At 52.1% G+C, this 16244-nt stretch overlaps 1 pseudogene, besides 4 other annotated features; it reads left to right on the top strand.

Moving 5' to 3' along the window:
* Window positions 518-1181: an enhancer, noted in NCBI's record as "H3K4me1 hESC enhancer chr21:43032765-43033428 (GRCh37/hg19 assembly coordinates)". NCBI's record gives its function as "activates a minimal SCP1, AML or CMV promoter by ChIP-STARR-seq in naive H9 embryonic stem cells {active_cell/tissue: H9 hESC(naive)}" and the evidence as "EXISTENCE:reporter gene assay evidence [ECO:0000049][PMID:30033119]".
* Window positions 3023-3317: an enhancer, noted in NCBI's record as "tiled region #1599; K562 Activating DNase unmatched - State 12:CtcfO". NCBI's record gives its function as "activates a minimal TATA promoter and a strong SV40 promoter by Sharpr-MPRA in K562 cells {active_cell/tissue: K562}" and the evidence as "EXISTENCE:reporter gene assay evidence [ECO:0000049][PMID:27701403]".
* Window positions 7600-8475: an enhancer, noted in NCBI's record as "H3K27ac-H3K4me1 hESC enhancer chr21:43025471-43026346 (GRCh37/hg19 assembly coordinates)". NCBI's record gives its function as "activates a minimal SCP1, AML or CMV promoter by ChIP-STARR-seq in primed H9 embryonic stem cells {active_cell/tissue: H9 hESC(primed)}" and the evidence as "EXISTENCE:reporter gene assay evidence [ECO:0000049][PMID:30033119]".
* Window positions 8476-9352: an enhancer, noted in NCBI's record as "H3K27ac-H3K4me1 hESC enhancer chr21:43024594-43025470 (GRCh37/hg19 assembly coordinates)". NCBI's record gives its function as "activates a minimal SCP1, AML or CMV promoter by ChIP-STARR-seq in primed H9 embryonic stem cells {active_cell/tissue: H9 hESC(primed)}" and the evidence as "EXISTENCE:reporter gene assay evidence [ECO:0000049][PMID:30033119]".
* On the top strand, window positions 9103-9200 carry LOC124905060 (uncharacterized; annotated as a pseudogene).

Below are 16244 nucleotides of genomic sequence, written 5' to 3'. Positions count from 1 at the left end.
GCACAGACGTCAGCCTGACCAGCACGGAACAGGCCACCAGACCGTAAAATCCATGGCAACAATCACACCACGCATTTCAATGGCCCATTCGAAATTTCCCCAGTGTAATCAGGCCATCTTGGCATGCGTCTGGCGGCAGAGACCAGGGAGGTTTGCAGCCGACACTCTCCACATATCAAGCTGAAGTGCCCGTGTCTCGGCGCAGGCTCTGTCGTCCGCCCGTCACACCGTGGCTTATCTTTTCGTGTGTCTTCTGGGTTGAGTTCATCAGTGCAGAGGCTAAGACTGGTCTGGTCTCCATGGAGTATCTAACCCTGTGCCTGGTCATAGCAGGGATTCAATAAGGCACGTGTGCGGAATGGATGAATGAGCGGATGAATGAACAGAAGGAGCGAGCTGATTTACAAAGAGTGGTAGGGAGGGGCCAGGGGAGCTTCCATTCTCTGAACTCATGGAAATGCATGAAATTGCCCGGAGCATCCACAGCCAGAAGCTGAAACTGCAACCTCTTCCCATGAGATCTGCGTTTCCTGGGGCCTGTGGCCATCCTGGCCTCCCGTTCACGCACGCTGTAGGAGAGGCAGCCAGGCAGAGCGAGTCCCAGCCCGGTTGCCTGGGCTTGTTCCCAGGCCTAAGGAGCCAGCTTCCCACACTGTGCTCCAGGATCCCATCAGCTGCCGCAGCATCAAAGCCAGGTCCAGCCCCTGCAGCTAAAGTTGCTGGAGGCAGACACACATTCCTGGGTGTTTTGGCAGTAAGACTTCCCGGCAGAGGGCAGGGAAGGAATCTGGGAGGTGCCGCCTTTCTTATGAGGACACATTCTGAACCAAACTACACAGAAGCTGTCCCCCAGGCTGAGGCCCAGCCCTGGTTGGATGGCAGGGGCTGTGGGCACTGTCGGGGTCGGTGGGGCGGGGGGGTGCCCTGTGATGGACTGTGGAGCCACACTGCCCCCTGCCGTTAGTTCTGAGTGACGCTGTTCATTCTTCCCACCCAAATATTCTCCCAAATGTCCGCAGCCCTAGAGAGCTCGACCTCCAATCCTTGCTTTGCTCACACTCAGCCCCTTCAGCACTTCAGGAAGGCAGGGATTTGAACAACTGAACTCAAGGCATTTGGCAGGGGCCAGTTTTGCTAAGAAAAGAAAAGAAAATGCCTCTTTTATTGTTGCAATGCCCCAGACAAAGGCAGAGAACAGTTCATGTCACCCTCAGGAATACCTAAGGATACTGAGCACATGTCTAAATGGGATGAGAGGTGGGCGTCGGGAGTTCTACCGCCTGCCCCCTTTATTCCCTGAGAAGGGGCGTTGCCTTGTCTTCAGGATCTGTGTTTCTGGATGTCCACAGCAGACTGCATGACCTCCTTCTTAGGCAGATGTGGCAGGTGTGGCTACACCAGTCAAGACGGGGGAGAGAGCTCCCTCCTCTGGAAGCTTCAGTTCTGAGCCCAGGTGTTTGTCCTGCACTCAGGATATGCTGGTTTCTAGCAAACAGGAATCACAGAGAGACACTTACCTTCCGGTTGATGTGAGCGGTCATGAGTGCATGTCGGTGCATCTTCACAATGCAGAGAACCAGACCAGTCCACGCATAATATGTGGTGGCAGAGCCCCCACTGCCATGCATAACATGTATGTGGTGGAGCCCCAGCTGCCATGTGTAACTGATGTGATGGAGCCCCAGCTGCTGGGCTGCACCTCACAGTCTTGAGGAACTGGCACTTGTTGCCAAAGCTGGAGAGAAGGTGCCATGCCCAGGGCCTCCATCTTGCCTGTGGCCATTGCACCTTCCGCCTTACACTGAGACTCCCAACCCCCTTTGCACAGGACGCAGAGTGCCTCCAGATGTGATTGAAAAATTAAGGTGATATAAAACACAGTGCAATAAAACACACCGTCGTATACACTTAAGGCACAAGTGGAATCCTGAGGCAGAAGGACACCCATTGAGCACCCTCGAGAGGTCGCTCCTTGGGCTTCAACACCAGCACAGGAGGCTGTTCAGAAGGGGAAGCCCAGAAGGAAAGAAAGGGATGAAGCTGCTGTATCTGAGAGAATGGCATCTAAAAGGTGAGTGAGAATTCTGAGTCTTCTCTTTTTAAACAACTCTCTGGATGTGGTGTGGGCTTCAGTGGTTGCACCTGTTTGCTCAGGAGTATGTTCTGTATGGGAGGTGGAGGCTGTCTGCAGTGGTCAGCTGAGCCTTGGCTACCCACAAACGCTGCAAGGGCGGATTCCCTGGGAGAGGAGGGAAGACATTGTCTTGTAAGTCATGCTTTTGTAATACTCACTAAACAAAGATAATTAGACAAATATAAACAAAAGTAAACAGACAGGCCTCGGAGAAGTTTCTGAGATGTCCCAGCAGACATCCATCCTGGCAAAGCTAACAGGGACTGTCCAGCTCTCACGACCTGGAATTACACTTAAGACCTTTCTTCTTGAGGTGGCTCACCTACAACAACTTACTTTTGTATAATTTATAATTTATTGCATGCACCTTAATTCCCTCCTTAACTCATGAACCCCATTCTCATTTTTTCTCTTTGCTCCTGGCTTACTGCCCCCATCCTGTTATCTCTCCTTTTTTACTTTCTTTTCTTTTTCTTTCTTTTTTTCTTTTTGAGACGGAGTTTCGCTCTTGTTGCCCAGGCTGCAGTGCAATGGCGCGATCTCGGCTCACCGCAACCTCCCCCTCCCGGGTTCAAGTGATTCTTCAGCCTCAGCCTCCCAAGTAGCTGGGATTACAGGCGCACACCAGCACACTCAGCCAATTTTTTTGTATGTTTAATAGAGACCAGGTTTACTTTGTTGGCCAGACTGGTCTCGAACTCCTGACCTCCTGATCCAGCCGCCTCGGCCTCCCAAAGTGCTGGGATTAAAGGCGTGAGCCACCGCGCCCGGCCTCCTTTTTTACTTTCTAATGACCCTTTATATTGCACAAGACTGTTAACATCCTCCCATGAGGAGTTCTCAGCGCATTCCTGTAATTTGGACCATGAAACAGGGAATCAATCCTTTTTAGAAAGCAGAGGATTTAAATCACCTGAAGTCCTTGTGTTCCTTCTACCATTGACAATCGCCTCTAAGAAAGTAACAATCAAACTCCCCAAGCACCCCCCAGACTTTCTCAATACACAACTGTGGCGGTTGGTCTGGACCTTCTATCTGCTAGGGGACCGAGGACCTAGGGGACTGGACACGTAGACGTGTACCACACTGTCCCCTGCTGGCTGAAAGTGCTATGTCTCCCCTTTCTGCTCTCACTGCCCTGCTTCCTAGCAGCCGGCGTTGGCTGGACAGGGCTGTACACCTAAATCTTTAACAGCTCAAGAAAATGTCTTACTCCATAAAAGAAGGTTAGATTGCAATCGCAAGAGGCTCTTCAACTTATTCCCAGGTCTTTAGGGCAGTAAGTGCGATTGCACAGGCAATAAGCAGAGCTTGTTCTAGCATATGAAACACCTGACAAACTGCCTCCTATCGGCAGGCATTTGGGGACCCGTTACTACACCCTCCATGCTGCACGAGGCCAGACAGGGGCCTCAACAGCCTGAAGACAGTCCTTCTCCTTCAATGGCTCGACAGCCTTCCGCCCACCAAGTGCAGCACACAGATCTGCTTCTACCAGTTGCAGGAGACTGGAAGATTAACGAGATTTGTTCCCCAACGGTCGTCAACCCAAAGCTTTTGTGGGCCATGAATGCTGTCGTGTCCTGCGTGAAACTCTTATCCTGTTAGACCCTGCCCAGTGTACTGCATCTGATATGGACCACACCTGTTTCACATGCTGTATCTGAGTGGAGAGAGAAGAGGAATGGGAATTTTGTTTCTTGCCTGCCCCCTCCCTTCCAGGCCATCTTAACTGGAGACACATTAATTAACTGCCTCTCTTAGAGTGGCCCCATTCTAGGCCTGGTACCCAAATGTGAACACCATGAAGAAGCCTCTTTGGGAACGTGCACCTTAAGTCTTCCAGGCCGGGCAAGGTGAAATCTTTCTTCTGTGTGGGGTCCTTGAAGGGTGCCAAGGTGAGTCCCCTCCTTCCTACCTTGTCAAGCCTGTTAGGAAACCTGAACCCAGGCAACAGCACTGCCTGACAAAAACATGTTGGGGCCACAGACAGCAGCTACGGCGGCAGTGCTGCACTTCCTAGGAGCCACCTTTAAAAAAAGTAAAAAGAGGCCAGGTGCGGTGTCTCACACCTATAATCCCAGCACTTTGGGAGGCCGAGGCCGGTGGATCATTTGAGGTCAGGAGTTCGAGATCAGCCTGGCCAACATGGTGAAATCCAGTCTTGCCTAAAAATACAAAAATTAGCTGGGCGTGGTGGTGCGCGCCTGTAATACCAGCTACTTGGGAGGCAGAGGTGGGAAAATCATTTGAACCTGGGAGGTAGAGGTTGTTGCAGTGAGCTGAGATTGCACCACTGCACTCCAGCCTGAGAGACAGAGTGAGACTCCATCTAAAAAAAAAAGTAAAAAGAAACGAGTAAAATTAACTTGAATGATGTATTTTATTTAACCGTATATATCCAAAATATCATGATCTCAACATGTAACAATATAGAAACTATTAATGAGACATTTGACGGCCTTTGTTCTGCACTAAGCCTTTAGAAGCCAGTGTGCACCTCACACCGAAGGCACATTTCCATCAGACCAGCCACGTCTCACATACAAGGTGCCACAAGAGGCTCGTGGCCCAGGATCTGGCAGCACAGCCATGCTCTGGGCCTGGCTGGGCCACGTTCTCTCTTCCTGACCTAGAAAGACAACCACTCCACCAAGGAATAACAGGTGCCCAGAAAAATAGTTCTGGATAGAAACGGCCATGAAATTTACCATCATATCCTTCTCCCCATATTTAAATCCTATACCATTGCATGAAGCTCACCTTTGTGCTGAAAAAAGGAATAAATGACTTTAACTCAGATCTTCCAGATATTCATCCCAGTGTTCCTTTTTTTCCCAGTATATTACAGTGTGGACCAGCATCGAGAGACCAGAGTTCTAGAACCCACGGTGGGACTTAGAGTGAGTTGCTTCTGCCTGGCTGGTTTCAACATCAGTCATTGAGCATGTTGGACTAGCTCAGTGATATGGTTTGGATCTGTGTCCTGCCCAAATCTCATGTTGAATTGTAATCCCAGTGTTGGAGGTGGGGCCTGGTGGGAGGTGATTGGATCGAGAGGGTGGTTTCCCATGAAAGGGTTAGCAACATCCCCAAGTGCTGCTCTCGTGACAGAGTTCTCCTGAGATCTGGTTGTTTAAAAGGGTGTGGCACCTGCCCCTGCTCTCTCTTTCTCCTTCCCTGTCATGTGACGTACAGGGTCCCCTTTGCCTTCTGCCATGATTGTCAGTTTCCTGAGGCCTCCGCAGAAGCTGAGCAGAGGCTGCCATGCTTCCCGTACAGCCTGTGGAACCGTGAGCCCATGAAACCTCTTTTCTTTATAAACTATCCAGTCTCAGGTATTTCTTTATAGCAGTGCGAGCACGGACGGACACGCTCGGTTCTCCCTAGATACGCTCATGGCTCTTTGTCTTTGGTACATTAGTGGGCGTTAAAGAAAAGATCCTATGTTGGAACTCTGTCCTGAAAACCTCTGGCTTTGGTGTTTTCACTTCCTCAAGGACGTCTCAGACCCTGTGATGTGCTGGTATAAATTTCCCTACAGCAGAGAGCTGATACGAGGTGGTCCCCACCTTACTGAACCTGGAATGTTTTCTCACGGGGCACCTCTTCCCATTTTTTTTTTTTTTTTTGAGACGGAGTCTCGCTCTGTCACCAGGCTGGAGTGCAGTGACATGATCTCGGCTCACTGCAAGCTCCACCTCCTGGGTTCACGCCATTCTCCTGACTCAGCCTCCCAAGTAGCTGGGACTACAGGCGCCTGCCACCATGCTCAGCTATTTTTTTTTTTTTTTTTGTATTTTTAGTACAGATGGGATTTCACCATGTTAGCCGGGATAGTCTCGGTCTCCTGACCTTGTGATCTGCTTGTCTTGGCCTCCCAAAGTGCTGGGATTACAGGCATGAGCCAACCTCTTTCCCTCTTAAGGGACATTGGGTGTCATGGAACACAGGACAGGGACTCTGGACTAGCAGTTCTCCAAGACACGCTGCTCCTCTGACACCCTATGATCACAGGGCTTTAAAAGTAGGGGGTGACTGGGATCTCCTGCCAGACAGAATGCCAAAGTGTGTTAGGCCCCTAGGACTGCCATGGCAGAATATCAAACACGTTATAGCTTCAAACAACAATTAACAACTAGTATCTCATCATTCTAGAGGCCAAAATCCTAAAATCAGGGTGTTGGCAGGGTTGGTGCCTTCTCAGAGCTCCGAGGGAGAGACCACCCCTAGCCTCTCTCCCCGCTGGTGGTGGTAGCTGGCAGTCCCCAGCATTCTTGGTGTGTGGTTGCAGCCTTCCCGTCTCTGCCTGCCTCCTCACATGGCTGTCTGTCTCGCTGTGTCCTCTCTTCTTATGAGAACACCAGTCTTTGGATTCAAGGCCCATGTGGGTATTCCAGGATGATCTCCTCTCCAGGACTTTAAACAACTGCATCTGCGTAGACCCCATTTCCAAAACGGTCACATTATGAGGTTCTGGGTGGACACGAAATTTAGGGGAACACTATTTGATCCATGACAACAGGGAATCCTTATGTTTGAGAAAAGGCAAAATAGGACAGGCAGGACTGCCCTACCTTTGTCAATGTTGCTGTTTGCAAAAAGGGTCTCTTACACAGTCCTATTCTAGCCTGTTTTCCTGTGTCCTGGAAGAACAAAGGTACTTGCCAAGGCCGCTCTTCAGCCTTGCTGGACCCATGGTCCCTCCACAACCCATCTCGGTGTGTTGGGAGGAACTACAGGGGTGCAGATGAGGAAGGACCTGGGTCTCCTGCAGGCCTGGTGAGCCGACTAGTGCAGGGTGTGCCCCATCTCTCTTCTTTTGCTAATGTCACCACGTTCCACAGGATGTTGGCAGCAAGTACAGTACTGGCAGGGTAAAAGGGAAGGACTCCTGGGAACAGAAAGGGCCAGTAGGCTTTTTAATTTTACTTTATCTTTATTTATTTATTTTTTGAGACTGAGTCTTGCTTTGTCACCTAGGCTGGAGTGCAACGGCACAGTCTCAGCTGGCTGCAACAACCGCCTCTGGGGTTCAAGCGATTCTCCTGCCTCAGCCTCCCTAGCAGCTGGGATTACAGGTGCCCACCACCACGCCTGGCTAATTTTTGTATTTTTAGTAGAGACGGGGTTTCACCATCTTGGCCAGGCTGGTCTCAAACTCCTGACCTTAGGTGATCTGCCGGTCTTGGCCTCCCAAAGTGCTGGGATTACAGGCATGATCCACCACGTCTGGCCCCAGTTGGCTGTTTAAAAAGCAGTTCTCAGCGGGGCGCGGTGGCTCACGCCTGTAATCCCTGGCTCGTGGGCTGCCTCACTGCAGTCTCTGCCTCCACCTTCACGTGCCTTTCTCCTGTCTCTGTGTCTGTCGCTTCTCCGGAGTCTTTGGACTTAGCGCCCACCCTACTCAGGTCTGACCTCACCTCACCTTGATTCCATCTGTAAAGGCCCTGCTCCCAAATAAGGTCACCTCCAAGATACCGGGGCTTAGGACTTGGATGTGTCTTTTTGGGGCCACCATTCAGCCTGCGACAGTGGGGAAGACGCCTGCACACAGGGAGAGAGCCAGTGCCCGCCTCACCCCTCAGCACATGGGGCCATTTGCAAAAACCAGAGATGTTCCAGGGGAAGGCGAGGAGGAGAACGGACACCCTCTCAGGGAATAGCTGTGAAACCTCAAGCGTACAGAGCCCCACACTTCCTTAACTGGAGACTGAGAAATCCCAATCCAAAACATCCCAAGAACAAAGCCCGGGGCTGCTGGTGTCTTCTCCCCGTATCTCAGGTCAGGCTTCCACACGCTTCAAATCCGGGCCAGCTTGCTTTTAACCCCTGCCGGCAGTGTGTGCGCCCAGAGGCCTCGGCTCCCTTGGGCTCCTCCCCAAAGTCAACAGGCTCAGGTTGCAGGGCCCTTTGTGCAAGAGCAGTCTGCTCCATCAGGTTACAGGGCTCTGTGTGCAAGGGCAGCCTGCTCTGCTCACCCACGGCCGGCTGGGCCTGAGGCTGGCCCCCAGCCACTGTACAGGGGCTTTGGACATGCGCCCTGCACACAGCTCCATCCCAGCCCCACTGCCCACTTGGAGCCTGGCACCTCCAGTCTTTGCCCGCAGGCCTTGCGTGAGCAGCCCGAGCTTGCCTGTAGCCTAGGAAAGGGGCTGGGCTGACGAGGGGAAGAGATTGTGAATGGGAGTCTGGAAGGTCACCGCAGTGGAAGGCGGTACCACCAGCTTCAGAGTCAGCCTGGAGCCAGGTTCTAACCCAGCTCCGTCTCTTTCTGGGAGTGGAAACTCGTAGCCACTCAGTTTCCTCATCTGTAAAATGGGATAACGGGAGCAGCCCTCAATAGGGTTGTGGGTTACAAAGAAAACATGAGGCCTGGCTGTCAACAATTGATGGCTGTAGCTTTTATTACGTTAATGCAAAAACCACAATGACTTTTGCACCAACTTAACTTTATCCTTGGCCTCACATTCCTCATTTGCAGATGGAGGAAAACAACCTCCAGACCCGGTCCAAATCCTGCTGCGGCCTCCACTCCCGGGGCGATTATGCTGTGCCTGCTCTGAACTGGCAGGCACAGCTGGTCTTCACTCGTTTGGGACACCCCAGTCCCCAAGGCAGCTGAATCCCTCTCTTCCCTGTTCCTTTAGGGTCAGCTCCTGGCCTGAGGTCAACCTCCTGGGCTGGGAGCCGGCACTGGGCACTGGGCTCAACGCGAGGCTGCTGCCGTTGACAAAGTCTTGATGCTTTTTGAACAAGGGACCCGCATGTTCGCGTTGAACTGGGTCCCCTTGAATCAATCATATGGCTCGTCCCGCACTGGCCTAAAGGGATTCTAGAGCTTCCCTCACTCAGAAGCCAGGACCCTGGTCGGGTGGGAGGAGACGAGAAAGAAGGAAGGTTGCCCTAGCTCCCAGGGAGGGGACTGCAGACCGGAAAGCAGGGAGCTGGGGATGGAAATGCTCAGATTCCCTGTGACACATCAGCAGGATGACTGGGCTTTCATCCTCCTGGGTGGGACATGCCTCCCTCAAGCCTTGCTGCTGGGCACATTATCTGTCCAACATGAAAAAGAAGAAATGAGAAAAAAAAAGAAAGAAAGAAGAAAGAAGAGAGAGAGAAAGAAAGACAAAGAAAGAAAGAAAGACAAAGAAAGAAAGAAAGAGAAAGAAAGAAACAGAAAGAAAGAAAGAAAGAAAGAAAGAAAGAAAGAAAGAAAGAAAGAAAGAAAGAAAGAAAGAAAGAAAAGAAAGAAAGAAAGAGAAAGAAAGAAAGAAAGAAAAGACTCAGGCTGGGTGCGGTGGCTCACACCTATAATCCCAACACTTTGGGAGGCTGAGGCGGGTGGATCACCTGATGTCAGGAGTTCAAGACCAGCCTGACCAGCAAGGTGAAACCCTGTCTCTACTAAAAATATAAAAATTAGCTGGGCGTGGTGGCACGCACCTGTAATCCCAGCTACTTGGGAGGCTGAGGCTGAAGAATTGCTTGAACCCGGGAGGCGGAGTTTGCAGTGAGCCAAGATTGCACCACTGCACTCCAGCCTGGGTGACAGGGAGCGACTCTGACCCAAAAAAACAAAAAACAAAAAACAAAAAACAGAAAAAGAAAAAAAGAGAAAAAGACTCAAACAGGGCAAATTCCAAAACCTGGACTGTTGCTCCAGTTTTTGCACTGGGGGGCGCATGAAACAAGGAGCATGGATGGCATCTTGGGGAGTTTTGGCTCTGCGGGGAGAAGGAGGTTCTTGGAGGGGTGGGATGGGGCCGGGGGAAAGACTCTAGTTTAGAGCCGAGTGGGAGCCTCTCACATTGGGGAGGTTGCTGCAGCCTCTTTGCTGAGTCCTTAAGGGAACTGCAGAGCAGACTATGCTCAAAGGTCGTCACGGCAGGGCAGGCCTCGAGGGGGCCCCACAACTGGGTCTCTGACGTCACCCCATGCAGGCTGGCAGTGCTCCCCTGGGGGCTGCCCACTATTCCCTCCTTTTCTCCTGGTCTTCCTTCCTTGGCTCTTGAGTGCCACTGCCCATGTAGCCACGCTGTGCCCAAGGGGATGGCCCGCCCTCCCTGCATCACCCCTATTGGCCCCTTGGCCCCTGTGGTAAAGTCCACCGTTTCTACCCTTTGGTCCCAGGCTCTGCATATTGTCCCCCTCCATGCCTCCAGCCTGTGGTGCTCCAAGACAGCCAAGAGACCCCAGGCTCACCCCCGTTACGGCGTCCCAGCTGCCATGGCGGTGTCAGCGCTGTGGGTATGAACTCACTGGCTCTGGTTCTTTATACAAAACCTATATATACATATTCCTCCTGAAATGTCCTGAAACTTCAAAAGACAGAGAAAAGCCTAATCGACCCTGTAATTCCAACATCCAGAGAAAATCTCTTGTAACAGGCTGGTGTCTTTTCAGTGTTGGCTGCAGGCAGTATGCGCTGTTTTAAAGCATGAGGCAAAGTGTACGGGTTTGGGTCCTGCACCCCTCACTTGACAGCACAGAGTGAACACCCGCCCCCCTACCACCACCACTTAGTCTCTATTGGGGCTGGGGAGCTAAGGGGCTGCTGGGAGATGGGTGAAGGAAGGGGGCGCTCCAGGCCCCCCCAGGAGAGTGATATTCTACACACAGAAATAAGGATTTTCAGGGCTAAAATATTGTTTTAATGTATATTGTCGTATGTAGTGCAGCCCACTTAGAGACAATGTGTGCCAAGCCTCCATGGCACACAGGAGCCGCACGACATACGAACATATACATTACTTAGTGGTATATTTTGATGATCTCTGAGTATTGCCCACCCCCAATTCCCTGCATCTCCCTAGAAAGGAAGCTTCCCGGAGGAGGTCACCCCTCCCTCTCACCCCCTCCCTCTCACCGACGTGCCCACCCCTCCCTCTCACCCCCTCTCTCTCACCGACGTGCCCCCACGCTGCACGCAGTGTTCGAGGTGAGCTCCTGATGACTGGGAAGGCCATGTTCCTGGACTTGGGGCCCAGTAGTCAAGGGCGTGTGACCTTGAGGCTTTCCATATAGAGCGCCAGCCCCGGGGATCATTTTCACATCACAAATAGAACAAAAAAGAGGGAGAGAAAGTAAGGAGAGAAGAAAATTGGGGAAAGGTAAAATAAAAATGGAAGAGAAATGACTCTTTGAGTTTAAAGGCAGCGGTGATCACAGGGGAGGAAGGAGGGAAAGAGATTTTGGAGGAAGAAGGAACCAAAACGCACATCACACTTACTGAACGTTCTCACCTGCCAGCTTGGTTCTAAGAGTGTTGCATAGCAGCTCATTTAAGCTTCACAACTCTCTGAGTGGATGTCATTATTGTCTCTGTTTTCTGTGGGAGGAAAAAGAGGCACAGAGAGGTTAAGTGACTTGCCCGAGGTCACACAGCCAGTGGCGACAGAGCTGGGACTTGTACCGGGGAGTCATCCTCTTGACCCCTAAGTTACAGACTAGAGTGGAGGATGGGACATTTGTTGAGCCCTTGACCCTCCCCTTCAACCCCTTGTCCCAAGGGGAGGGACAGAAGGGCTGGGCTGAAAGAGCCTGGGGCAGTGTGGGGCCAGCCTGGGGAAACCCCACCACAAGCCACCAAACTGGATGTCTTCTCAGCGTCAAGGTCATGGGGCCAAGCTTTTCTTTTTATTTTAAAGCAAACATGGACAGTTTATGGAACAGGATGACTGTATTCCACAGCCTTCAGAGATAACACGACGTCTTCGAAGACAGTTTCAATTCCGAGGAGACAACTCAGGATGCAACTTGGCTTTCCTCTGCCTCAGGTGGGGCTCTGTTCCAGGAAAGATTTGTGAGGTGCCAGCTAGCTAACTGTCTTCATTTTACTGCTGCAGGAGTTCTGCCTGGTGAGGTCCTGGGACTTTCCCAAATACTGATGTGAATAATTAGTGGCAGAGCTGGGATAGAAGCCAGATTTTCTTTTTCTCAAATATTCAGCCACTCCAAGCTGTCTCCTGTGGGCTTGTCTGGGGTTAGACCAGTGGAACAAGGTGCCAAGCCCGTGACCCTGCAGCCAGCGCCACAGCCCCTGAGTGCTCACTCAGCCGTGCAGGGAAACCACAGGGGTCACATGCCCACCATGCACGGCCCAAGGCCCAGCCCTCTGCCCCCTAACCAGCTTGAACATGTACCCTGGAGGGTGTCTTCTCCCATGTGACAATAGGTTTAAAGGGACCAGGTGTAGAGCAGAAGTCAGACTGGGTCTTCACACACAGGATGTTCTCAAACTGGGTATGTCTAACATGGGGTGGGGGTCATCGCAGGCTGGCAGAGCTGGTGATGTTTTTTGTGGCTGTTTTGCTTAACCAGGGTAGGATGCGTAATAACTCACCACTTGTGGCACCCTGCACTCACCAGCCAGACGGACACTGCCATGTGCTGGAGCAGGCTCCCAGGGACACCTGCGGGCCAGGACCTCCCCCTCCAGCTGCTGGATGGTGGGAAGGCCCCATGGGGAACACTTGGAGGGTCTTGGTGAAGCAGCTATTTCTGAACAGGCCCAGTTGTATTTCAGGGATAAGCAGCCCAGCCCTGCTGTCTCCATCCTCAGCTCAGTCTTGGCCCAATGCAACCTCCACCTCCCCGGCTCAGATGACTCTTCCTGGGCTCAACGAGAGGCTGTCGCCATCTGTAAAGTCTTCATGCTTTTTGAACAAGGGATCCGCCTCCCGAGTAGCTGGGATTCGGCTGGGACCTCAGCCTCCCGAGTAGCTGGGACTACAGGTGTGCACCACCACGCCTGGCTAATTTTTGTATTTTTTTGTAGAGATGGCGATTCGCCATGTTGCACCAGACCCAAGCAATCTCCCCGCCCTGGCCTCCCAAAGTGCTTGGATGACAGACATGAGCCACAGTGTCCGGCTTCGGCTGAATCTTCTTCAGGGCCTCTCTCCAGGTTGAAGCCAGGGAGTGGGTGGTGGCCTCAGTCTTCTGAAGTTTTAAGCAAGCAGGGGCCCTCTGCAGGCTCCTTAGTGGTTGCTGGCAGGATCCAGTTCTATGAGCCTGAGGGTCTCAGTTCCTTGCTGGCTGTTAGCCAGAGACTGTCTGTGTAGTTCCTCGACATGTGGATCTAACACAGCTTGTTGCTTTACCAAAGTGAGCAAGCTGAGAAGGCCATACAGAGAGAGTCCCGCAAGAAGGAAGTCAGAGGTTTTTGACACCTAGAGCAGAGATGTTCCATTACTCTTGATGCATTCTGTCCATCAGAAGCAAGTCACCAGGTCCAGCCCCACTCATGAAGAAGGAGTCACACAAGGAAGCAAATTTCGAGAGGCGATCACCGAGGGTCATCCCAGAGGCTACCCAGCCAGCCCTGAGTATTCAGGGTGGAGTTAGCTGGACACAGCGGTGATGACTGATGCCCACTGTGCACTGCTTGTTTGCCAGCCCTGTGCTCAAGGCCTTCTGTGAATTACATCTGACTCCAGGACGTGCATCCTGTTGGTCTTCCTGCTCACATCTAGTAGCACAGAGAAGGTAAAGGGACTGACGAGGGCAGAGCCTGGTGCTAACCCCCCATCCTCTTGATGCCATAGGCTCAATCTGATCACTAGCCATGATCTTGGCCTTTCTCAAAGTGCAGGGGTTTGCTCTAAGTGGGCTTCCTGAAGAAGGTGGTATTGGGTGCAATTATGAAGGAAGGAGACGCTGGTGACATAACAACCTGGATGAAGGATGTTCTCACTGCGGAAATGGCAGGTGCCAAGATGTGGTTCCCTGATGCTGGGCTGTGGAGGTGGCGATATGGCCTGAGGCTAACTCCATTTGCACATTCTGGACACTGCTACCCTCTGGAGATATGCTGCTACTCTTGGTATTTGTATTTGTCAGTTTTCTCGCTGCTGATAAAGACATACCCCAGACTGGGCAATTTATAAAAGAAAGAGGTTTATTGGACTTACAGTCCACATGTCTGGGGAGTCCTCACAATCATGGTGGAAGGCAAGGAGGAGCAAGTCACATCTTATGTAGATGGCAGCAGGCAAAGAGAGTGCTTGTGCAGAGAAACTCCCATTTTTAAACCCATCAGATCTCATGAGACCCATTCACTATCATAAGAACCGCACAGGAAAGACCCGCCCCCATGATTCAATCATCTTTCACCGGGCCCCTCCCACAACATGTGGGAATTTTGGGAGCTACAAGGTGAGATTTGGGTGGGGACACAGAGCCAAACCATGTCAGTATTCTTGATAACAACCCCATTGCCACCCAGCCAACGTTGACTCTTGGCCTGGGTTTACAGGTGACAAAATGCCAAACAATGACCAAGCCACCTCTCGAGGCACTCTCATGACCATGTGCCCTGTCTGGGCTCCTCCCTGCACACAGGCATCACAAACCACAAGCGCAAGACAAACACATTGCACAATGCCAGGAGGAAGTGCACCGGTGTTAGCATTGGCGACCACCCGAGCGTCTCAGATAAATCAGTCCTTTCCCCATCTGGGGATCTGTTCTTCTGTTAGTTACAAGTACAAGGGTCTGCCTGCCTCACACGGATGCAGATGTTTTAGAAGTCAGTTTTCTCTGTGTTTCTTGCTCTGGTTCAACAAGTAAGAGCCGAGAGACAGAATTTGGAGCCAGAAAGCCAAGAGGTTGACATGGCAGCGGCGGTTCTGTCGGTGGGGCTCTCCCCCAGGCTGTGCACTCGGAGAGCCTCATGTGCAGGTCTAAGCTCTGCTGGCTCGCAGCCACCAGATGGGAGAGGGTGTAGGAGTTCCCTACAGCAGCGGTGACAAAGGACCACAAAACGGGTGGTTTAAAACAGTAGAAACGGATTCCCTCACAGTTCTAGAGGCCAGACGTCCACAGTCAGTTTCACTGGGCTGAAACCAGGGTGTGGGCAGGGCCGGTCCCTCTGGATGCTCTGGGGAAGGTCCTTCCCTACACCTCCCAGCTTGTGGTGGCTACCAGTGTTCTCCAGGGCTTGTGGCTGCACTGCCCTCATCTCTGCCTCCATGGCCACGCTGTCTCCTCTTCTGCAGTGAAGTCTTCCTCTGCCTTCCTCTCACATGGTCTCTTGCAATGCCATTTAGGGCCCACCTGGCTAATCCGGGATAATTTCCCCACCTTAAAATCTTTAACTCAATCACATCTGCAAAGTCTTTTTTTTTTTTGCCATGTCACATCACATTCACAGTTCCAGGTATCCAGATGTGACTATCTTTTGGCAGCCATTATTCAGCCTCTGACAGACAGTAACTGCAGGACAAGGAGATGCCCTTGGCCATCTGTTAGGCTCTGGGGAACCTCTGACCTCTGTCTCTGCACTGTAGGTGCCCACTGACACCCATGGAGGGCAAGTCTAGACTGGCGAAGGTAAGAAAACATGTTGGGGTTGGAGATGACCTTGGTACCCAGAGGGCACCCCTGGTGAGGGTCATCTCTTCATCTTCTCCTTCCTCCTGTCATACCCCAGGGCTGCATGGGACACCAAGACAACGACCACGCCCACCTCCAACCCAGAAAGCACAAACTCCAGGAACGTCCCAGGCTGTCATCCTGGGGCAGAACCAGCATTGTGTGTCATGTTCCTGCGGCCTAGGCATGGCAACAGTGGGTCTCCACCCTGACCCTGAGTCGAGGGGTGAGTTTGAATCCTATCCCAGAGTGCATCACGGTCTAGGATCCTGTCCTTGTGGGTTCCTAGTGGGACATGAAGGCGGGGCAGCTGGGGCCTGGGAAGGAGGTGCCTTAGTACACAGGACTTGGCCCAGCAGGCCAAGCTAAGACACATGCACACACACAAATGTCCACACACACGCACATGTTACCCAGCAGGCCAGGCTAACACACACGTACACAGGCACACACATGTGTCCACACACACGCACATCCACAGGGTGTCCTGCAGGCTAGGCCAGTTGCCCACTCCCTGTTGTTCCCACTCCCTGATGTTGCCCACTCCCAGGTTAATTGGGGAGTAGCCACTCCCAGGCTAGTTGCCCACTCCCTGATGTTGCCCACTCCCAGGCCAGTTGCCCAGGCTGTTCCCACTCCCTGATGAAGCTGCTCTTTCTTGGACTTGTTCTGCTGGTGTTGAGCCATGGAGACTTTGTCTGGGGTCTGCAGGGGTCAGTGCCCAGAGATGCAG

The sequence above is a fragment of the Homo sapiens genome, chromosome 21 (assembly GCF_000001405.40).
Source record: "Homo sapiens chromosome 21, GRCh38.p14 Primary Assembly".
Taxonomy (NCBI): domain Eukaryota; kingdom Metazoa; phylum Chordata; class Mammalia; order Primates; family Hominidae; genus Homo; species Homo sapiens.
The sequence above is the reverse complement of the archived record's forward strand: the minus strand, read 5'-3'. Positions and strand labels throughout refer to the sequence as shown.